This window comes from Homo sapiens, chromosome 3 (assembly GCF_000001405.40).
Source record: "Homo sapiens chromosome 3, GRCh38.p14 Primary Assembly".
Lineage (NCBI taxonomy): Eukaryota > Metazoa > Chordata > Mammalia > Primates > Hominidae > Homo > Homo sapiens.
Window position 1 is genome coordinate 154,933,397 of NC_000003.12, and position 23,907 is coordinate 154,957,303.

Genomic DNA, 23,907 nt, shown 5'->3' on the forward strand with positions numbered 1-23,907 from the left:
TTTTGCTTATCCATTCTCTATGGCCCATTATTATCAATACAATTAATTTCCAAAACACCTGAATTTGAAAATGAATGGCCATGGGGAAAGGTAATCTTTCTATCATTTCACAACCACATATTTTATAGCCCAGGCACTTAGTCTGGTCCTCGGCACTGAACCAGGGCCAGGAATGTCTTTGCTGTGTCAGGTATTAACCTCTTAGTTGTTGAATAATCAATTACTTTTGCACCATTCTAAAAGCATGCCTGAGAGAGATTTACCCCATTTCTAAACAAGCCAATAACCACATAAATTCATAGACATCCTCTTCTATGCATCACCAAACACCCTACCATCTCAAGATTTGGTGAGAAAGAGAAAGGTTAAGAGCTGAGAGATCTAGATTGGCATTCTGATTCTGCCCTTTGGTATTGTATGACCTCAGGCAAATACTTAACATTTCTGAACTTTATTATTTTCCTTCATAAAATGGAACTAATAGAGTTTATCCTACTTCCTCCCAGGGATAAAGGGTGGATCAAGTAACATAATATATACAAAAGATCTTTGTAAATTGTGATGCTCTCTCTGTAAAAGGTGGTTATTGTTACAATACGAATGCTGTAACCTGAGTTTCCCTAAGCATCTTCAAACTGTGGAAGCCTTAATGACATTGGCATGACATTAATTTAAGTTGCAATAGTCTTTGTTCCCACCTGCTCTGTCAAGATCTCAGCCCCTGCAACATTCTTCTGATGACTTGCCAGAGCTCTTAAAGCAGTCCAGCCTTCAATCTTAGTGACACATCTTCTTCTGCTGAGCACCACTATCTTGTAGGGCATGGCAGTTGCTTCTTCTGATTCCAGTGACCACCTTCCTGGGGCAATGCAGTCATCTCCATCTGGACAGATCACTATTTCCACTGTGTCCTTGCAGCTACTGTGTTGCCCCACCAGGCACTATGGCTGAACACCATAGCCACATTCTGCTGGAAATTTTCTTTGGCCCTCCAACAAGTGTCTAAAGCAGTGATTCTCAACACCTCCTGTACACTAACTTCTCCTGGGAGGATTTTTAAAAATATAAATGCCTAGACCCTGCTCTTACCAGACTTTTGGAAACCAAATCCTGAGGTTAGAGCCTGGGCATCAGTATTTTTTAAAACATACAGGTGATTCTGATGCACACTGAGTTTTGAGGGCCACCCTGTGGGATGCGGAAGTACCTCTCTCTCCCCTGTCATGTGTCCTCTGGTAAAGAGGCCACAAAACTGTGCTGCATGTGCCCCCGGCTTAAAGAGGTTCTCTGGAGCCTTGAAAAAAATACAGAGTGAAAGAAATAGCTACATGAAATTTTTCTTCATATTCAAATTTGTAGCGATAGTATATGGTTGGCCCTCTGTATACATGGGTTTCTTATGCATGAATTCAACCAACCTCAGATAAAAAATATTTGGAAAAAAATACAATAAAAAGTAATATAAATTTTAAAATACAATATTAAAACTTTATGTAGCATTTACATTGTATTAGTTATTTTAAGTAATCTAGAGATGATCTAAAGTGTACAGGGTATGCCTGGGTTATTTGAAAATGCTATGCCATTTTATATAAGGGACTTGAGCATTCATGGATTTCGGTATCTGCAGGGGTTCCAGAACCAGTCCCTCACAAACACCAAGGAATGACTGTATACTCCTTCAGGTATGAGAAAATGCTGTTTCATTTTTATACTCTTATGTTATTTTAAGTGTGTGTTTTATAATGTAGTACATAAATAAGTCAAGTGTATATAATTGTACATGCTCAAAATATGTTACTTACAGGGATGTGGGGTCAAAAATTTATACAAGACTGTTTTCCTTCTAGCATTTATGATATTCTATAGTTTCATACTTAAAATTGGCAATTTTTTCTCATCTAAAGAAACCCTACAACTTATTCAATAAATTATCTCATATATAGACTGTTTAAAACTCATAAAGTGGTTGAAATTTCTAATACTAAGGTACTAGTAAAAGCCATAAGTTGAAAGGGGATTTTTTTTTTTTTTTTGGCAGATTGGTCTCCTATTCCCAGAGTTTTTTTTCAAATATTTAAATATTATGTGTTTAAATACTAAATATTAGTGTACATAGATGGAAAACAAAGAAAATTTTGTCTGTGAATAACAATAACACAGTACACTTTAAAATTACAGAAAGAGACTTTTTCACATGTTTCTAATCTGACAGTAAAATAATAATCTGTGTTTTAGCCAGGTGGAAGGAGTCAACCGTAATACTTTTCTTCTTTCAGGATAATTTTGTAAACAACATGCTCCTTAATTAAGCAGCACCAAAATGCACATCTAAGTGACTTATCTCTACTATATTTCTGAGGGATTGAAAAAGGATTATAATTACTAGTATCGGTTCTCTGCAAATAATTTTACACGCACACACACACATAATCTTTTTCATTCTTTTTTTTTTTTTTTTTTTTTTTGAGACGGAGTCTCACTCTTTCGCCCAGGCTGGACTGCAGTGGCGCTGTCTTGGCTCACTGCAAGCTCCACCTCCCGGGTTCAGGCCATTCTCCTGCCTCAGCCTCCCTAGTAGCTGGGACTACAGGTGCCCGCTACCACGCCCGGCTAATTTTTTTTTGTATTTTTAGTAGAGATGGGGTTTCACCGTGTTAGCCAGGATGGTCTCGACCTCCTGACCTCGTGATCCACCCGCCTCAGCCTCCCAAAGTGCTGGGATTACAGGCGTGAGCCACCGCACCCGGCCAATCTTTTTCATTCTACACTGTGAATTATTTACCTCATTATACAACATAAGTTATCAAAGCAATTATAGAAAGACTGAATGGTCATGTTACAAAAACTTGGAATTTTATTGGAAAGTGGAAAAAACATTTCCTGTGATTCTCAGATCAAAACTCCCTTGGGCCTCATCACAAGGCCTTTCAAAAACAGCGGTTGAAATGGAGGTAAGGAAATTTTGCCTACATAAGAAACTCCGCTCTGCTTTGTTTAGGAAGTGATGACTAAAGTTTAATTCATTGGATCACAGGGCCCGGAAATGCCGTGCCAGCTTGGATCTACTTTGAGTTTCCTTAAGAAACCTGGTATGTTTTAATTCAAAGATGTGGAGACCTGTTGGCAATTCTTTGGAAGCATTTAGCAAACTATATTAAGGCTACCTTCAGGCACTTCATTTATAAGCTGTAAGAATTCCAGCTGTTTTCCCTTGAGTCTATTTTTCTAGAGAATACTTGTCTTCCATTAAATTCTGTGTCACAGATAAAATAATTTTCTGTAAAACATATGCATTAATTTGCTTTTATCTAAATATCTATGCAAAGAAAGTTGTCTAAACTCTTCAAGCAGCTGCTTATATTAGAATGTCAAGTTCTTTTCTAGATTTAGCTAATAGGTTGGGAATGTAAACTTGATTTTGGTTGCTAATATTACTGTTTTAGATCTTTCCAATCACATAATTTCATTCTAAGCTAAGTTTTCCCTTTTCCTTCTCATCCTATTTTCCTTGGTCATCTTAGAAGGTGGACTTTCTGTTAAATTCCTCCTGCTTACGCATTACAAATAAAAGACTTTTTTTTTTACATTGTAATCATGGCCAACAAAGTCACCATATAAGATCTTCCTTATATATGTGCGCCCCACATCAAAGATTGTGCTTTTGTAAACAATGAATTCAGATTCAAATAATCTATTAATGAAGAAATATAAGTAACTTTAAATTTCTTTACAGTGAATTATTTCACTCTGTTTCTGTTTTTTAAAAAATAGAATTTTCAAGAGTTAGTCCCATGAAAATCACTCTGTGGTATGTCTATGAATAAATAGGTCTGATTTCTTTTAAGGCCAGTCTAGGAACTGTTCACTTCCTTTATCAAATCCATTTTCCAAATTTGTTAGCACTTAAGCAGTAACATTAGGGAGGTGAGTCTACAGAAAAGCAGAGTATAAATATGGAGTCAAACAAATACTGCAAAGATACAGTTAAGTTCAATATTAAATAACCTGCAATAGTCAAGGACTATGACAAAAGTTCCAAGAATAGGCCAAGATAAAAGAAAGAAAGATGAAAGAAGAAAAAGCATCTTACAACATTTTAGTCAAAGGTATACAGAAAAAAACAAAGCAACAGCCTTTGCAAATAGCAACCTATTACGCAAAGGCTGGTTTTGCGTAGAGAAAAGTAATTTAAGCTATAATTTGCTATTTTCACTGATCCTTTTTTTACATCAAAAACATATGTATACATGACATAACAATGTGTAACTTTGGAAACTTATGGAAATAATGTATGTATAAAAACTTTCTAAGAAAATCATATATGAAGAATGATGGAGTTTGAATGTTTGCCCCCTCAAAAATCTCATGTTGAAATTTGATCCCCAGTGTTGGAGGTGGGACCTGACAGAAGGTGTTTGGGTCATGAGGGCGGATCCTTCATGCATGTCTTGGTGCCATCCTCATAGTAATGAGCAAGTTCTCGCTCTGTGAATTCCCATGAGAACTGATTGTTAAAAAGAGCCTGATGCCTCCTCCACTCTCTCTCTTGCTTCTATCCTCTTACCATGCAATGCTTGCTCCTCTTTACCTTTTGCCGTAAGTGGAAGCAGCCTGAGGCCCTCACCAGAAGCAGATGGTGGTACCATGCTTCTTGTACATCCTAGAGAACCTTGAGCCACATCACCTATTTATGATTTACCCAGCCTCAGGTGTTCCTTTATTGCAATGCAAATTGACTAAGAAAAAGAAGAAAATTATCAAAATACACATTAGGCAATTGTTAAAGATGTATTAAACGCCATTTATTAAATTAGTAAATAAGCTAAATAATATCTAACAGTATAGCTTTAAAACTGTGGTATTATTTAAATTAATTATTTTTGTTTATAAAAGTAAGATATTATCATTAATGAAAATTCAACAAACATAAATAAAGGAGAAAGGAGAAATATTATCTATTGTTTCACCAGATGAGTGTATAAGAGAAGAGAAAAAACTACATCAGGGTTAATTTTGGTAACAAAGAAAAACAGAAGAAAACTTCACATGTTCTACAAATACGTGGAGGATGATGGCAATGAATTAATTTAAACCAGGTTTATAAAAAATTTGGTTTATTATGTTGTATGTAGCTTCAAGCAGGGAGAGAAATAGAAATAATCTTTGTTGAGAATCTACTATCCTCTGCTATCTCAATTTAATGTCACAATAACTTTGCAAGCTAAGCACTGGTACCACTATTTAACTGATAAAGAAAACAGATCTTAGATGGGCTAACAACTTTTCCAATGTTACTTAGCTAGAAAGCAATGAAAGCAAGATTCAATTCCAGGTTTCTCTGGCAAATGTCAATTTTGGAGCTTTCAGTTGCATTTGGTAAAGGCCTATGTATTCTCAAATGTGCCAAAGGGTAAGAGAGAAGAAGGCCAAGGAATTCGGTCTTAGGTCACTGCTCCCTCTTTAAATAAAATAGTTATAACTGAAACTTGTTTTTTACTAGACATTTGTGTGATATTTCAGTAAAAACAAACAAAAGCTCACCTGAAAAAGCTTAAAAAACAATCCACCCCACAATGTTGCCTTACAGCATAGCTTTCAGAAGTTCTTGCCAAAAAAAAAAAAAAAAAACCTGTGATAGAAATTGGGGGAGTGACATCGGCAAGATGGCTAGCTACAGACGCTTGGCATTCATCCCCCCTACAAGAATGAACCAAAGCAAAGAATCCATAGCTGATTTGACTGGAGTGTTGAAGGGAGATCATTAGAATGTAGTAGGAGAGTAGAGACACATTTGTGGTGATTGGAAGCCCAGGAGGGCAGTGTGGAGGCACCTAGCCTCTGCAGCCCCATCTCTCTCACCCAGATCAGATTTGCCTAGAGTCAGGAGGGACGTCCTGTTTCAAGGAGAAGGTATGCAGAAGATCCCCACCAGCCCCCATTGCCACCGTAAACACCTACAATCCTTACAACAGGAAAATCTTAAGTTCTCACAAGCCCTGAGCCAAGTTTTGAAATATACTGGGAATTTGCATAGTTGTATTGCCCAGATTAGAAGCACAAGGTGTGTACTCCTCTCACCCAGCCATGGTGAGCCAACCTGCTGTAGCACGGTGCCATCTTAAGACCAGTGTGTGCCCTCTTCTGGGGCACAGTAGCTACTGCTCTCCTGCATTGGGGCTCCATCTTCATTAAACCAAGCCCACAAATGTGACAGAATGCCAAAATCCTAGCTGTGTGAAGCCTGGGCCTAGGATTGGCTGTGACTCTGGTCCAGCACAGCAGGATAACCAATCCCTGCCTCCCTCACTTCCAGTCAAAGGAACAGTCTAGCAGTCCTGCCTAGGACAAACTTATCCTAAAGCCTGCCAAACCACTACATGCCTTCCCCTGAAGTCGGAGAGGCCCCTGAGTCTTCAAGCAGCTAATATGCCCCTGGGCCAGCAGAGTAGCTACATACCTGTGCTCAGAACCTAAGAGCCCCCTAGCATCCCTGATACCCCCAGACATGTCCTTGGCCTGCCCAGTGGCCCTGTAACCCTAATAAGGGCCTGAGAAATAGTCTTGTAAGCCATGATTGGTAGGCATGCTCCCAGATCAGCCAAGCAGCCAAGAGACCTGAGAAACAATTCCATGGACCACCCTGTTGAGCGCACCCCTGAGCCAGCCAAGCAGCCTTACACTTTCATCTCAAACCTAAGCACTAGCCCATGGTCCATCCAGAGAAGACGGCCCCAGGCTCGTCAAGCAGCTATGTGCCCCTGAGAAAGAGCCCTGTGAGCTGCTTCTGGTAAGCATGCCCGGGACCAACCAAGCATCCCTGTGTCTGCATCCCAGGTCTGTGCAACAGCACCATGGACCGCCTCCCACAGACATCCCCCAGCTGAGCAGCCATGCAGCTTTAAAGCTTGAGAAATAGTGTCGTGGATCAGCTGCAGCAGGCACACACACAGCCAGCCCTGCACCCACATACCAGGCCTAAGAAATAACCCCATGGACTATCACTGGCTAGCACACCCCCCTACTCCAGCCAAGCAGCCTTTAGCCCATGTCCCAGGCCTGAGAAACAGCCCTGTGGGTCAACCCTGGAAAACACATTTCCAGGTGGCAGAGCAGTAGTGTACATACCTTCCAGGCCTGAGAAACCACCCCACAAGCTGCTCCTGAGAGGCCAAACCCCAGGCTAGCCAAACAACTGTGTGCGTTAGTTTGTGGCCAGAGTAACAGCCCTGTGACCCCCAACCCTGGAGAGTCAAACCTCACATTGGCCAACCCATATGTGCATACAGATACCCTCAACATAAGAAACAGCCCAGTGGGCCCACCCATGGCAAAGCACACAACCAAGCCACAAACATTCTCAGCCTAAGACGCTAAGAAACTCGCAAATGCCACCGGCATGGATTACAACTGAAGAAACTACACAGAGACTATACTAGAACAAAGATCAAAACACACAACACACTGATACCACCAGACCTATTCATATGAATAAGTCTTTCCCTAGGAAGCCTACTCGATAAATTTGGAAGAGGTGAATTTTCTACCAGATGCATAGAAATCAATGTAAGGACACATCAACCATGAAAAAGCAAGGAAACATGTCACTTCCAAAGGAAAATAATTCTGCAGTAATATACCCCAATCAAAAGGAAATATAGGAAGTGCTAGAGTAGTAATTCAAAATAATAATCTTAAAGAAACTCAGTGAGATACAAGCAAATGCACATAGACAATTCAATAAAATTAGGAAACAATTCATCATTTGAATGAGAAATTCAACAAACAGATGTGATAAATAGATATCATTATAAAAAAACAAACAAATCCTAGAACTGAAGAATTTACTGAGTTAAACAAAAAATACAATTGAGAACTGTAACAACACATTAGACCAACCAGAAGAAAGAATTTATGAACTAGAAGATAAATATTTTGAAATAATACAGGCAGACAAAAAAAAAAGAAAAAAGAAAACAGAATAAAGAAAGCATGCTGGATTTACAAGACACGATTAAGCAAATATTTACATTATGAGCATTATAGAAAGGAGAAGAGACAAGGAAAGGTAAGAAAAATATATTTAATGAAATAATAGCAAAAAATGTCTCAAGTCTATGGAGAGAGAAGGATATCCAGGTTCAGGAAGCTCAAAGAACCCCAAATAGATTCAACTTAAACAGGTCCTCTTCAAGGGACATCATAGTCGAATTGTCAAAAGTCAAGAACATAGAATTTTAAAAGCAGCAAGAGAAAAGTGTAAAGTCGTATATAAGGGAATCCTCATTAGAATAACAGTGTATTGCTGGGTGCAGTGGCTCATGCCTGTAATCCCAGCACTTTGGGAATCCAAGGTGGGTGGATCACGAGGTCAGGAGTTCGAGACCAGCCTGGTCAACATGGTGAAACCCCACCTCTACTAAAAACACAAAAGTTAGCCGGGTATGGTGGCAGACGCTTGTAATCCCACCTACTTGGGAGGCTGAGGCAGGATAATTGCTTGAACCCAGGAGGCAGAGGTTGCAGTGAGCCAAGATCATGCCACTGTACTCCAGCCTGGGTGACAGAGCCAGACTCCATCTCAAAAAAAAAAAAAAAAAAGCGCATTTCTCAGCAGACAGTTTATAGGCCAAGAGACAATAAAATGATATAGTCAAGATGCTGAAAGAAAAAAAAACCTGCCAGCCAATAATAATATACCCAGCCAAATTATCCCTCAGAAATGAAGGATAAATAAAATCTTTCATAGACAAACAAAAACTAAGAAAACTTATCACCACTACACCAGCATTACAAGGGAGTCTTATGTTTGGAAATAAAAAGATGATAACCACTATTATGAAAACATGCAAAACTATAATACTCACTGGTACAGCTGATACACAAAGGAGAAAGATAAATCAAACTTTATCACTACAGAAAACCACCCAAATCTAAAAAAATAATAATAAGAAGAAAGGATATAAGGAACAAAGAATATACAAAATAACCCCGAAACAAACAATAAACATGATAGGAATAAGACCTCACCTATCAAAAATAATCTTGAATACAAATGGATTAAATTCCTCATTTAAACAACATAGACTGACTGAATGGTTACAAAAACAAGACCTATCTCCATACTCCCTACAAGAAGCTCATCTTGTTATTAAAGACACAAATAGGATGAAAGTGAAGAGATAGAAAAAGATATTCCACGGTGACAAACACCAAAAATGAGCGGGAAAACCTATACTTGTATCAGACAAAGAGATTTCATTTTAAAAGCTATAAGAAGAGACAAAGAAGGACATTATGTGATAATAAAGGAATTAATTCAGTGAGAAAATATAACAATTGTAAAAATATATTCACCCAATACTAGAGCATTCAGGTATATAAAGCAAATATTATTAAATCTAAAGAGAGAGATAAACCCTAAAACAATGATATCTAGGGACTTAAAAACCTCACTGTCAGCACTAGACAAATCATCTAGACAGAAAATCAACAAGGAAACATTGAATTTAATCTGCTCTATAGACCAAATAGACCTAACAGACATTTACAGAACATTTCACTCAACAGCTGCTTGGGTGACCATATGTTAATTAAGCATAATTAACATGTGTTAATCAAGCATAATTAACATGTGTTAATCAAGCATAATTAACATATGTTAATTAAGCATTAATGTTAATTAATGCTTAATTAACATATGGTCATTTCTCCAGGACTGATCATATATTAGAACATAAAACAAGTCTCCAAAATTTTTAAAAATTGTGACCATACCAAGTATCTTATCTGATCACAATGGAATAAAACTAGACACCAATAACAAGAGTAACATTCAAAACTATACCAATACATAGAAATTAAATAGCTGGCTCCTAATGACCAATAGGTAAAGAAAGAAATTAAGACTAACATTTAAAACTTCTTTGAAACCAATGAAAATTTAAGCATAACATACCAAAACTTATGGAGCAAAAGCAGTATTAAGAGGTAAGTTTATAGCAATATATGCCTACATCAGAAAACTAGAAAGATTTTAAATAAACAGTGTAACAATGTGCCTTGAAGAACTAGAAAAGCAAGAACAAATGAACCCCAGAATTAATAGAAGGAAAAAAATAATATAAATCAGAGCATACATAAATAAAACTGAGAGTAAAAAAATACAAAAGATTCATGAAACAAAAGGGTAGTTTTTGAAAATATAAACAAAATTGACAAACCATTAACTAGACTAAGAAAGAGAAAAGGTTCAAATAAATAAAAATCAGAAACAAAAAATGACATATCTCAATAGATAACATAGAAATAGGAAGGATCATTAGAGATTACTATATACCAGTAAATTTAAAAATAAAGAGAAAATGGATAACTTAATGGACATATACAACCTACCAAAATTGAAACAAGACAAATAGAACACCTAAACATATAATATTAATAACAATTAATGAGATTAAATCAATAATAAAAAGTCTTCCAACAAAAAAAAGTCCAGGACTGGTTTTACCATTGGATTCTACTAAACATTTAAAGAATTAACACTAATTCTTCTCAAACTATTTTAAAACAGAGGGAATTTTTCCTAACTCATTCTATGAGGCTAGCATAACCCTGTTAGCAAAAGAAGACTAGGATCCAACATAAAAAGAAAACTACAGGCCAATATCTGATGAACATAGAAATAAAAATTCTCAACAAAATCTTAGCAAACTAAATACAACAACACATCAAATTAATCATACACCATGATCAAGTGGGATTTATCCCAGGAAAGCAAGCATGAGTCAACATATGCAAATCAATACACATCATACATCACATTAATGGAATGAAGAACAAAAGCCATATGATCATCTTAATAGATGCAGAAAAAGCTTTTGATAACATTCAACATCCCTTCATAATAAAAACTAATAAATTAGGTAGAGAAGTGTTGGCGAAACCAGTCCCACACCACCCAGTGGGTACTCGGAGTCCAGTGGAGACAAAGGAGTTAGAAAGAGACAGAAAAAGCGTTTAAAAGGTGGGTCCAGGGGACCAGAGCATCGGAGGTTTGCTCACAGCCCAGAGCTCTCAGGCTCTGCCCAATTTATTGGTTTAATTGGTTTACAAGCTCTTTGTTCTTAGGGCAGATGGGAGGGGGAGGAAGGGATGAGGAAATGGATTAATCAGTGAAGGAGAACTCGTGAGTTATTTGATAAAATGTATAGCAGTGGTGGTTTCTGTGAATTTCCTTGAGCAAAGGCGTGTGTATAAACTACTTAAGATCTTTAACTTATCTGGACTGAAACGGGTGGGAGCAGGTTTCAGGAGGAGCCAAGATGTTTGATTATACTCCACTGCTTCAAGGAAGCGTTATCTCCCTGAGCAACCTATGGAATGCCGCTGAGTGGTTATGCTCTTGGGGCATAAAGACATGAAGGCAATAAGGAGACTTCTCCTCAGAGTCCACCCATGGCTTTCCATGGGTGTCGCACACAGAGGAGACCAACCAGAAACTCTCTTTCCCACAAGAAGGAAAGAAGCTCAACATACTAAAGGCTTTATATGGAAAATCCACAGCTAACATCTTACTGAATAGAGGAAAGCTAAATCTTTTCCTATAAAAACTAATAGAACATAACATAGAACTGGAAACCCTAGCCAGCACAGTTAGCAAGAGAAAGAAAAAAAGGGCATCAAAATTGTAAAGGAGGAAGTCAAATTGTCCCTGTTTGCAGATGACATGATCTTATATATAGAAAAACCTAAAGACGGGGAGTCTGTTCCAAGATGGCCAAATAGGAACAGCCCCGGTCTGCAGCTCCCAGTGTGATTGATACAGAAGATGGGTGATTTCTGCATTTCCAACTGAAGTACCTGGTTCATCTCACTGGGACGGGATGGACAGTGGATGCAGCCCATAGAGGGTGAGCCGAAACAGGGCAGGACATTGCCTCACCCTGGAAGCACAAGGGGTGGGGGGATTTCCCTTTCCTAGCCAAGGGAAGCCATGATAGACTGTACCTGGAAAATCGGGGTACTCCTGCCCAAATACTGTGCTTTTCCAATGGTCTTAGCAAACGGCACACCAGGAGATTGTATCCCACACATGGCTTGGAAGGTCCCACGCCCATGGATCCTTGTTCACTGCTAGTGCAGCAGTCTGAGATCAAACTGTGAGGCAGCAGCCTGGCTGGGGGAGGGGCATCTGCCATTGATGAAGCTTGAGTAGGTAAACAAAGTGGCTAGCAGGGGAAGGTCAAACTGGGTGGAGCCCATCAAAGCTCAGCAACACCTATTGCCTCTGTAGCTTCCACCTCTGGGAGCAGGGCATAGCTGAATAAAAGGCAGCAGAAACTTCTGCAGACTTAAACATCCCTGTCTGACAGCCCTGAAGAGAGCAATGGTTCTCCCAGCACAGTGTTTGAGCTCTGAGAATGGACAGGCTGCCTCCTCAAGTGGGTCCCTGACCACCATGTAGCCTAACTGGGAGACACCCACCAGTAGGGGCCGACTGACACCTCATACAGGCAGGTGCCCCTCTGGGACGAAACTTCCAGAGGAAGGATCAGGCAGCAATATTTGCTGTTCTGCAATATTTGCTGTTCTGCAGCCTCTGCTGGTGATACCCAGGCAAACAGGGACTGGAGTGAACCTCCAGCAAACTCCAACAGACCTTTAGCTGAGGAACGTGACTGTCAGAAGGAAAACTAGCAAACAGAAAGGAATAGCATCAACATCAACAAAAAGGACATCTACACCAAAACCCCATCTGTAGGCCACCAACATCAAAGACCAAAGGTAGATCAAACCACAAAGATGAGGAGAAACCAGAGCTGAAAATTCTAAAAACCAGAGCACCTCTTCTCCTCCAAAGTATCGAAGCTCCTCACCAGCAATTGAACAAAGCTGGACGGAGAATGACTTTGATGAGCTGACAGAAGTAAGCTTCAGAAGGTTGGTAATAAACTTCTCCAAGCTAAAGGAGGATGTTCAAACCCATCAAAAGGAAGCTAAAAACCTTGAAAAAAGATTAGACCAATGGCTAACTGGAATAAACAGTGTAGAGATGACCTTAAATGATCTGATGGAGCTGCAAACCATGGCACAAGAACTATGTGACATATGCACAAGCTTCAGTAGCCGATTCGATCAAGGGGAAGAAAGGGTATCAATGACTGAAGATCAAATTAATGAAATAAAGTGAGAAGAGAAGTTGAGAGAAAAAAGAGTAAAAAGTAACAAACAAAGCCTCCAAGAAATATGGGACTATGTGAAAACACCAAATCTACATTTGATTGGTGTACCTGAAAGTGACGGGGAGAATGGAATCAAGTAGGAAAACACTCTTCAAGATATTATCCAGGAGAACTTCCCCAACCTAACAACGCAGGCCAACATTCAAATTCAGAAAATACAGAGAACACCACAAAGATACTCCTTGAAAAGAGCAACCCCAAGACACATAATTTTCAGATGCACCAAGGTTGAAATGAAGGAAAAAAATGTTAAGGGCAGCCAGAGAGAAAGGTCGGGTTACCGACAAACGGAAGCCCATTATACTAACAGTGGATTTCTTGGCAGAAACTCTACAAGCTAAAAGAGACTGTGGGCCAATATTCAACATTCTTAAAGAATTCTCAACCCAGAATTTCATATCCAGCCAAACTAAGCTCCATAAGTGAAGGAGAAATAAAATCCTTTACAGACAAGCAAATGCTGAGAGATTTTTCTCACCACCAGGCCTGCCTTACAAGAGCTCCTGAAGGAAGCACTAAACATGGAAAGAAACAACCGGTACCAGCCACTGCAAAAACATGCCAAATTGTAAACATCTTTGATGCTAGGAAGAGACTGCATCAACTAACAGGAAATATAACCAGCTAATGTCATAATGGCAGGATCAAATTCATACATAACAATATTAACCTTAAATGTAAATGGGCTAAATGCCCCAATTAAAAGATATAGACTGGCAAATTGGATAAAGAGTCAAAACCCATCAGTGTGCTGTATTCAGGAGGCCCATCTCACATGCAGAGACACACATAGGCTCAAAATAAAGAGATGGAGGAAGATCTACCAAGCAAATGGAAAGCAAAAAAAAGCAGGAGTTGCAATCCTAGTCTCTGACAAAATAGACTTTAAACCAACAAAAGAGACAAAGAAGGCCATTACATAATGGTAACGGGATCAACTCAACAAGAAGAGCTAAATATCCTAACTATATATGCAGCCAATACAGGAGAACCCAGATTCATAAAGCAAGTCCTTACAGACCTACAAAGAGACTTAGACTCCCACACAATAATATTGGAAGACTTTAACACCCCACTGTCAATAGTAGACGGATCAACGAGACAGAAGGTTAAAAAGGATATCCAGGAATTGAACTCAGCTCTGCACCAAGCGGACCTAATAGATATTTACAGAACTCTCCACCCCAAATCAACAGAACATACATTCTTCTCAGCACCACATCACACTTATTCCAAAATTGACCTCATAGTTGGAAATAAAGCACTCCTCAGCAAATGTGAAAGAACAGAAATCACAACAAACTGTCTCTCAGACCACAGTGCAATCAAATTAGAACTCAGGATTAAGAAACTCACTCAAAACTGCACAAATACATGGAAACTGAACAACCTGCTCCTGAATGACTACTGGGTACATAACGAAATGAAGGCAGAAATAAAGATGTTCTTTGAAACCAATGAGAACAAAGACACAACATACCAGAATCTCTAGGACACATTGAAACCAGTGTGTAGAGGGAAATTTATAGCACTAAATGCCCACAAGAGAAAGCGGGAAAGATCTAAAATTGACACCCTCGCATCACAATTAAAAGAACTAGAGAAGCAAGAGCAAACACATTCAAAAGCTAGCAGAAGGCAAGAAATAACTAAGATCAGAGCAGAACTGGAGGAGACAGAGACACAAAAACCCCTTCAAAAAAATCAATGAATCCAGGAGCTCGTTTTTTGAAAATCAAAATTGATAGACCGCTAGCAAGACTAATAAAGAAGAAAAGAGAGAAGAATCAAATAGATGCAATAAAAAATGATAAAGGGGATATCACCACCGATCCCACAGAAATACAAACTACCATCAGAGAATATTATAAATACCTCTACACAAATAAACTAGGAAATCTAGAAGAAACGGGCAAATTCCTGGACACACACACCCTCCCAAGACTAAACCAGGAAGAAATTGAATCTCTGAATAGACCAATAACAGGCTCTGAAATTGAGGCAGTAATTAATAGGCTACCAACCAAGAAAAGTCAAGGACCAGGTGGATTCACAGCCGAGTTCTACCAGAGGTACAAAGAGGAGCTGGTACCATTCCTTCTGAAACTATTCCAATCAATAGAAAAAGAGGGAATCCTCCCTAACTCTTTTTATGAGGCCAGCATCATCCTGATACCAAAGCCTGGTGGAGACACACACACAAAAAAGAGAATTTTAGACCAAAATCCCTGATGAACATCAATGTGAAAATCCTCAATAAAACACTGGCAAACCGAATCCAGTAGCACTTCAAAAAGCTGAGCCACCATGATCAAGTGGGCTTCATCCCTGGGATGAAAGGCTGCTTCAACATACGCAAATCAATAAACGTAATCCATCACATAAACAGAACCATCATCAAGAACCACATGATTATCTCAATAGATGCAAAAAAGGCCTTCAACAAAATTCAACAGCCCATCATGCTAAAAACTCTCAATAAACTAGGTATTTATGGAATGTATCGCAAAACAATAAGAGCTGTTTATGACAAACCACAGCCAATATCATACTGAATGGGCAAAAACTGAAAGCATTCCCTTTGAAAACTGGCACAAGATGGGGATGCCCTCTCTCATCACTCCTATTCAACATAGTGTTGGAAGTTCTGGCCAGGGCAATCAGGTAGGAGAAAGAAATAAAGGCCATTCAATTAGGAAAAGAGGAAGTCAAATTGTCTCTGTCTGCAGATGACATGATTGTATATTTAGAAAACCCCATCGTCTCAGCCCAAAATCTCCTTAAGCTGACAAGCAACTTCAGCAAAGTCTCAGGATAAAAAATGAATGTGCAAAAATCACAAGAATTTCTATACCCCAATAACCAACAAACAGAGAGCCAAATCAGGAGTAAACTCCCATTCACAATTGCTCCAAAGAGAATAAAATACCTAGGAATCCAACTTACAAGGGGTGTGAAGGAACTCTTCAAGGAGAACTACAAACCACTGCTGAATGAAATAAAAGAAGACACAAACAAATGGAAGAACATTCCATGCTTATGGATGGGAAGAATCAATATTGTGAAAATGGCCATACTGCTCAAGGTAATTTATAGATTCAATGACATCCCCATCAAGCTACAAATGACTTTCTTCACAGACTTGGAAAAAACTATTTTAAAGTTCATATGGAACCAAAAAGAGCCCACATTGCCAAGTCAATCCTAAGCAAAAAGAACAAAGCTGGAGGCAACACGCTACCTGACTTCAAACTATACTACAAGGCTACAGTAACCAAAACAGCATGGTAGTGGTACCAAGACATATATATAGATCAATGGAACAGAACAGACACCTCAGAAATAATACCACACATCTACAACTATCTGATCTTTGACAAACCTGACAAAAACAAGAAATGGGGAAAGGATTCCCTATTTAATAAATGGTGCTGGGAAAACTGGCTAGCCATATGTAGAAAGCTGAAAGTGGATCACTTCCTTACACCTTATACAAAAATTAATTCAAGATGGATTAAAGACTTAAATGTTAGACATAAAACCACAAAAACCCTAGAAGAAAACCTAGGCAATACCATTCAGGACATAGGCATGAACAAGGACTTCATGACTAAAACACCAAAAGCAATGGCAACAAAAGCCAAAATTGACAAATGGGATCTAATTAAACTAAAGAGCTTCTGCACAGCAAAAGAAACTACCATCACAGTGAACAGGCAACCTACAGAATGGCAGAAAATTTTTGCAATCCACCCATCTGACAAAGGGCTAATATCTAGAATCTACAAAGAACTTAAAAACAAATTTATAAGAAAAAAAACAAAAAACCCCATCAACAAGTGGGTGAAGGATATGAACAGACACTTCTCAAAAGAAGGCATTTATTCAGTGAACAGACACATGAAAAAATGCTCCTTATCACTGGTCATTAGATAAATGCAAATAAAAACCACAAGGAGATACCGTCTCACACCAGTTAGAATGGCGATCATTAAAAAGTCAGGAAACAACAGATGCTAGAGAGGATGTGGAAAAATAGGAACGCTTTTACACTGTTGGTGGGCATGTAAACTAGTTCAACCATTGTGGAAGACAGTGTGACGATTCCTCAAGGATCTAGAGCTAGAAATACCATTTGACCCAGTGATCCCATTACTGGGTATATATCCAAAGGATTATAAATCATGCTGCTATAAAGACACATGCACACATATGTTTATTGTGACACTGTTCACAATAGCAAAGATTTGGAACCAACCCAAATGTCCATCAATGATAGACTGGATTAAGAAAATGTGGCACATATACACCGTGGAATATTATGCAGCCATAAAAAATGATGAGTTCATGTCCTTTGTAGGGACATGGATGAAGCTGGAAACCATCATTCTGAGCAAACTATCACAAGGACAGAAAACCAAAGACTGCGTGTTCTCACTCATAGGTGGGAATTGAACAATGAGAACACTTGGACACAGGATGGGGAACATCACACACTGGGGCCTTTTGTGGGGTGAGGGACAGCGGGGAGGGACAGCATTGGGAGAAATACCTAATGTAAATGATGGGTTGATGGGTGCAGTGGGCCAGCCTGGCACATGTATACCTATGTAACGAGCCTGCACGTTGCGCACATGTACCCTAGAACTTATAGTGTAATATAAATAAATAAATAAATAAATAAATAAATAAAGTGAAGCAAAAAAAAGAAAAGAAAACCCTAAAGACTCTACAAAAAAAACCCCCAGCAACTTAGAACCAATAAGCACATTAAATAAAGTTGCAAGGTATAAAATTAATATACAAAAATCAGTAGCATTTTTGTACACAAACAATGAACTAGCTGAAAAAGAGGTCAAGAAGGCAATCCCACTTGCAATACCTACAGAAAAATAAAATACCTAGGAATATATTTAACAAATGAGATGAAGGACATATACAAGGATAACTATGAGACAATGATGAAAGAAATTAAAGAGGATACAAACAAATGGAAAGACATCCCATGCTCATGGATCAGAGGAATCAATATTGTTGAAATGACAATACTACCCAAAGCAATCTACAGATTTAATGTAATCTCTATCAAAATGTCAATGACATTCTTCACAGGAATAGAAAAATTTCTAAAATTTGTATAGAACCACAAAAGATCTCAAAGAGCCAAAGCAATCCTGACCAAAGAGAACAAAGCTGGAGATATCACACTACCAGATCTGAAGTATACTACAAAGCTATAGTAACCAAAACAGCATGGTACTGGCATAAAAACAGGCACATAGACCAATGGAACAAAATAGAGAACCCAGAAATTAATCCATATATCTACAATCAATTGATATTTGATAAAGGTCCCAAAAACACCTACTGGGGAATAGTCAGTCTCTTCAATAAATGGTGCTAAGAAATGGATATTTATAGGCAGAAAAACTAGAACCACAACTCTCATCCTATTAAAAAAACAACTCAAATGGCCCAAAGATCTAAATGTAAGACCTGAAACAAAAAAACTACTAGAAGAAAACACACTAGAAATGACTCAGAACATCAGTCTAGAAAATGTTTTGGGAAGAAGTCCTCAAAAGCATAGGCAACAAAAACAAAATTAAACAAATGGAATTATGTCAAACTAAAAAGCTTCTATACAGCAAAACAAACAATCAACAAAGTAAAAAGGCAATCTACAGAATGGGAGAAAATATTTGCAAACTACTCATCTGACAAAGGATTCATATCCAGAACATACAATGAGCTCCAACATTGCAACACCAAGAAAAGCAAACAATATGATTTTTAAATGGGCAAGTGATCTGAATAGATATTTCTCAAAATAAAACAAACAAATGGTCAACAAATATATTTTAAAATGCTTAACATCACCAGTCATCAGGGAAATGCAAATCAAAACCTCAATGAGGTATTATTTCACCCCAGTTAGAATGGCTATTATCAAAACAACAAAAAAATTTTAAAATGCTGGTGAGGATGCAGCGAATAGGGAACTCTTAAAACACTGTTTGTGGGAATATAAGCTAGTACAATCACTATGGCGAGCAGGATAAAAGTTCCTCAAAAATGACCAATAGAACTACCATATGATCCAGCAATCCCAGGGCTGGGCATTTATCCAAAGGAAAGGAAATAATTATAACATAATGGTTGGGGATCCACCGGCTCATCTTGCAACTGCCAAAAATATGATTTATAAGTCCCTATTAAATATTTCTCTCTGAGAAAAAAATAATTATATCAGAGAGACATCTAAACTCCCATGTTATGGCGGCACTATTCGTAATAGCCGAGATTAGAAATCAACATAGGTGTCCAGTAACAGACGAATGGATAAAGAAAATGTGGTATGTATACACAATGGAATACTATTCAGACATAGAAATTAATGAAATTCTGTTATTCTTTACAACATGGATAAAGTGGGAGGACATTATGTTAAATGAAGTTAATTGAAATATTACTATGTACCCCATGAATAGGTACAGTTTTAATTTGTCAATTTAAAACAAAATTTTAAAAACTTGTAAGAAATGAGAATGTCCAATGTCCAGAGAGCTCTTTCTCTGAAGACTTTAAAGAAAAAATATTATATTTTGAGAAAAAATAATATATTCCCTTTTCTTCCTTAAAGTATAAGAATATAAGAGATTATTACTCACATACTTCCTACAACAAGGATGACAAATTTAAAGCTCCTAAGCCCTAGGCCATCATGGCTATTCTGTCACCACTGAGCCAAAATAGAGCCCCAGAATGTTTTTCAGTTGAGCATTTCCAGCCATTTAACCTGTCAATAAGAGATATAGGAACTATTTCATTTTATTTATATACCCACCTTTCCCAGAATTAAAAAAAAAAAAGAAGTCTTGTGCTTCATAAAAGGTGTCTATTGAAACAAAACTAAACTCAAACCATAAAGAAACGAATAACATATCCTGAAGAAATTTCCTCTTTCTCAGAATTAAAAAGGCTTCAACCTTGAATTTTCAAAATAAACTCATCTCAGAGCTGCCACTGTGGTTAGTGAAAACTATTAAGCTACAGACTTCGTACTGATGTCACTCCTTCTCTATTCACTACGTGTGACCCATAGCCCTACCCTGTTTCTCTTCTGCTCTCTGCTTTCATAGGTCTCTGTTGGGTCACTTAGCTCAAGCTAAATGGAAAGAGTAGAAAAAGAGGCTTTCTTTAGCCTTCCTGTCAATATGCAGGCATATAACCTCACTGGAATCAGAAAACCTACAGATTATCACACTCCAACTGTCACAAATGACATCAGAACTGAGTTCATGTGAATACCAATTCTAACAGCATTTTTTAAAAATCAGGGCATGCTTTGTGCCCTCAGTAGAAAATGTTAGAAAAAGCACCTGTTGTTACCCCAATCCCTATCCCCATTTTACTTTCACCTTCTCTAGGTGAAAGCACATGTCAGGCATCAAGATCAAAGTCACACTGATAGAGAGCTAACAGAAATAAAAAGACTGAAGGAGGAAGAAAGGATGTTTATTAAATTGGGGGTCAAAAAAGGAGATAAATAGTATTATCTCCCCTCCTGTTTCAAGAAGAGGTAAAACAGGCTGGAATTTGAGAAACTTTTATTAGGTAAAAGGAAAGGATTTTGAAAACCAAAAAAAAAAAAAAAAGTTGATGATGGGGGCAGAATTTCTCGATTGTACTTTTTTAGGTATAGAGTTTTAGATGATGGGCATTTGTCTAAGACATTTTCAAGATTTCAGGAGACTTTATAAACCTGTGGAAGTGGATAGAAAGGTAGGAAGGCAGGTTAGGTGTGCTTTCAAATATACCAAAGAAGACCAAGATTGAGCTTCTAGACTACTGGCTAAAGAATCAGTGGGGGCCTTCAGATGATCTTCTTACTTGTCCAAACAAATTTACCATTAGGAGAAAAGGCAGATTTCTGAAGAATTACTTTGCAGAAATAAAGATATTATCAGGCAAGAAAAGCTACATTATGCTGCAGTGACAAAATCTTATTGACTTAAAGTAATCAAGTCTTGTTTCTTGTTCAATCTATACATTCACCTACTCTGCTCATAATCATTCAGGGAACACTCACCATCTCAAACATTAAAAATTAGAGAGAAAAGAATTATGAAGGTTCTTGCCTTGGCTATTAAATGATTTCCCTGGAAATATCATGTGCTACTTTTGCTCATAACTTATTATTCAGAACCAATCACAGGGCCTCACTCAGACACAATGAGGATGAAAAGTATGATACCATGTGCCTAGAACAGGAGACAGGGGATACATTTAAGAGTACAGCGCTAATAACTACCTCAAGAGGGCATCCTCCTGTTTCTCAAGAACCTAAGCAAGTATAATGGAGTCTCAGAGTCAGAAGAAGAACATTTATAACATGTCTTCTGCTTGTAAGTATGCATATAAAACAGAAGTGGCATAGAGCATAAATAAACTCTAAGCTACCTGATTCCCCCACTTCTGGCATGCAAGATAAGGTTTATAAATACTTGGAGCATCTAGGAAATTGATTCCTCGATATACGATTGATTGATTGATAGCTAGATAGCTAGCTAGAAATGAAGGAGGCTAGACTAAGGGTTAAGAGAAAATTATTTTTCCTTCTTCTATAGATAGATATAGCAAAAATATAATAGAATTTCATTAATTAGGGCTGGAATGGGAGAAATCCACACTGATTTAGTCAAAGGTATATATTATGAAATATATTAAAATTAATTTAATGTTATTTTAAGGAAATGATATTATTGTCAATATTACAAAATATTTAAGAGAAAATATTACACACAAAACCTCAAACAATCAGATTTAGTTCATATATATTGACTTAAATAATAAGGAATGCAATACATACCAAAAATTTGGCATACGTAGTCACAGACTTATAGACCCATTGATGTCTCTACTACCAAGTTATTGGTTTCATGGCCATCCAACTTTCCTTTGGACTAAAAAAGGATTCAGTTAGCTCGCCATAACATTTTATGATAAATTCATGGTTAAACTATACTTTTAAAAGATAACTACTAATTTTAGTTTGAAAACTAATGCACACTTTATCTAAGGTCATAAAAGACACATTGGTCATTGTTATTTATTCTTGCTTTACTCAGGTTTTTGTTGTTTTCTATTGTGAGAGTGATCAATTAAGATTGCAGAAAAAACTCTGAATAATATTACCAAAAAGGGAATATATTGAGAGGATCACAGCCAGTACAGGTGAAAAAGCCTACAATAGGCTTAAAAAAAAATAACACAAACTGGGGAATCAGAAATTAGACTATTATACAGGAGTGAATTGGCTACCACAGGATAAGGGCACACCTATCATTGTTTAGGGTTTTGCATCATTCTCCAAGAGTCTGCATCCTAGAGCAGATGCTATTTAACGTACCTAAAGTTGTGTTTCCATCCCCTTGGTTAGAAAAAGTCAAGATACTTTGATTGACAGGCTTCTTAATCTTGCACACAGTGAAGAGATAATTTCCCAAAAAGGATATGGGATTTTTTCCCAGATCAAGGGAAAACAGCGTAATGAATACTCAATAAAATAGGAAATATCTACTATACTAGAATCTGCTCCTAACAACTTTAAAATTCAACAACATTCTTTTTAGGGGCATATACAAACTTCCTCATATGGTTTGTAGTGGAAACTGAATGATAAAGGACCTTTTATGTCAGGAGTTTGGAATTCTGCCAAGCAGGTTATGAGGTCCTACTGCAGTGATATGATTTGTGTTTGTGTGTTTATTTGCTTAACTACTAATGGAAATGTGTGAAGTGGGTTACAGGAGTAAACCCAAGTATTAATAGAAAGACTAGTTAGGCAGCTGGCAAAAATTTAGTCAAAGCAAAGTTATAGGAACCAAATGTAAGAAAATGTCAGTAGAGCTAGAAAAAAGGGATCTGTATTAATTAGCATTTTGTATACAAAAAAAACCCACAAAACTTACAGATTTAAAACAACTACCACTTATTTAGCTGATTGGTCCTCAACCAGTGAAGTGGGGAAGTGGGTGGGACATTTGGCAATGTCTAAAGACATTTTTGGTTGTCACAGTGGGGGTGAGGATGCTGTGGTCATCTAGTTATTAGAAGCCAGGCATGCTGCTAAACATTTTATGATGCACAGGAAAGTACCACTCCTCCCCAAGAATTATTCAGTCCAAAATGTCAATATTACCAAGGTTGAGAAACCCTGATTTAGCTTAAGAGTCTGCAGGCCATCAGTATGGTTTGGGCTTCATTGGAATTCTGCTGATCTGGGCCAGGCTCACCTGATCTCAACTTGCTGATTCATACATCTCTGGTCGACTATTAATAGCTGGTCAGGTGGGAGCTGGCTAAGCTAAAGGGCTCAGCTGGAACAGCTCCTTTTTGATCCCTTTGGTTTCTCATCCTCTGGAAGAATGATCAGGCATTGTTCATACAGTGAAGGCTACAAGAGATCAAGAAGAAATATGCAAGGCCTCTTGAGATCCAGCCTCAGAATGCACACTGTTGTGTGTCAGTCTCATTCTCTGAGCCAAAGCATGTCACCAAGCCAGCCCAGAATTAAAGAATGGAAAAATAGACTGTATCTCTTGATGAAATGGCTATCAAAAAAAGTGATCATTTTTATAATCTACCAAAGAGAGAATTT

At 37.8% G+C, this 23,907-nt stretch overlaps 1 long non-coding RNA gene across 1 annotated transcript in view; it reads right to left on the minus strand.

Annotated features, from left to right (window-relative positions):
* The window catches only part of LOC105374171 (uncharacterized), a 71,200-nt gene that overhangs the window by 34,331 nt on the left and 12,962 nt on the right, over positions 1 to 23,907 (minus strand). The window contains exons 2-4 of the long non-coding RNA XR_001740568.2: positions 23,543 to 23,703; positions 22,117 to 22,210; positions 4,568 to 4,739 (exon numbers count right to left, since the gene is read on the minus strand). This is a non-coding gene — a long non-coding RNA (uncharacterized LOC105374171). The remainder of the gene's footprint in view (positions 1 to 4,567; positions 4,740 to 22,116; positions 22,211 to 23,542; positions 23,704 to 23,907) is intronic.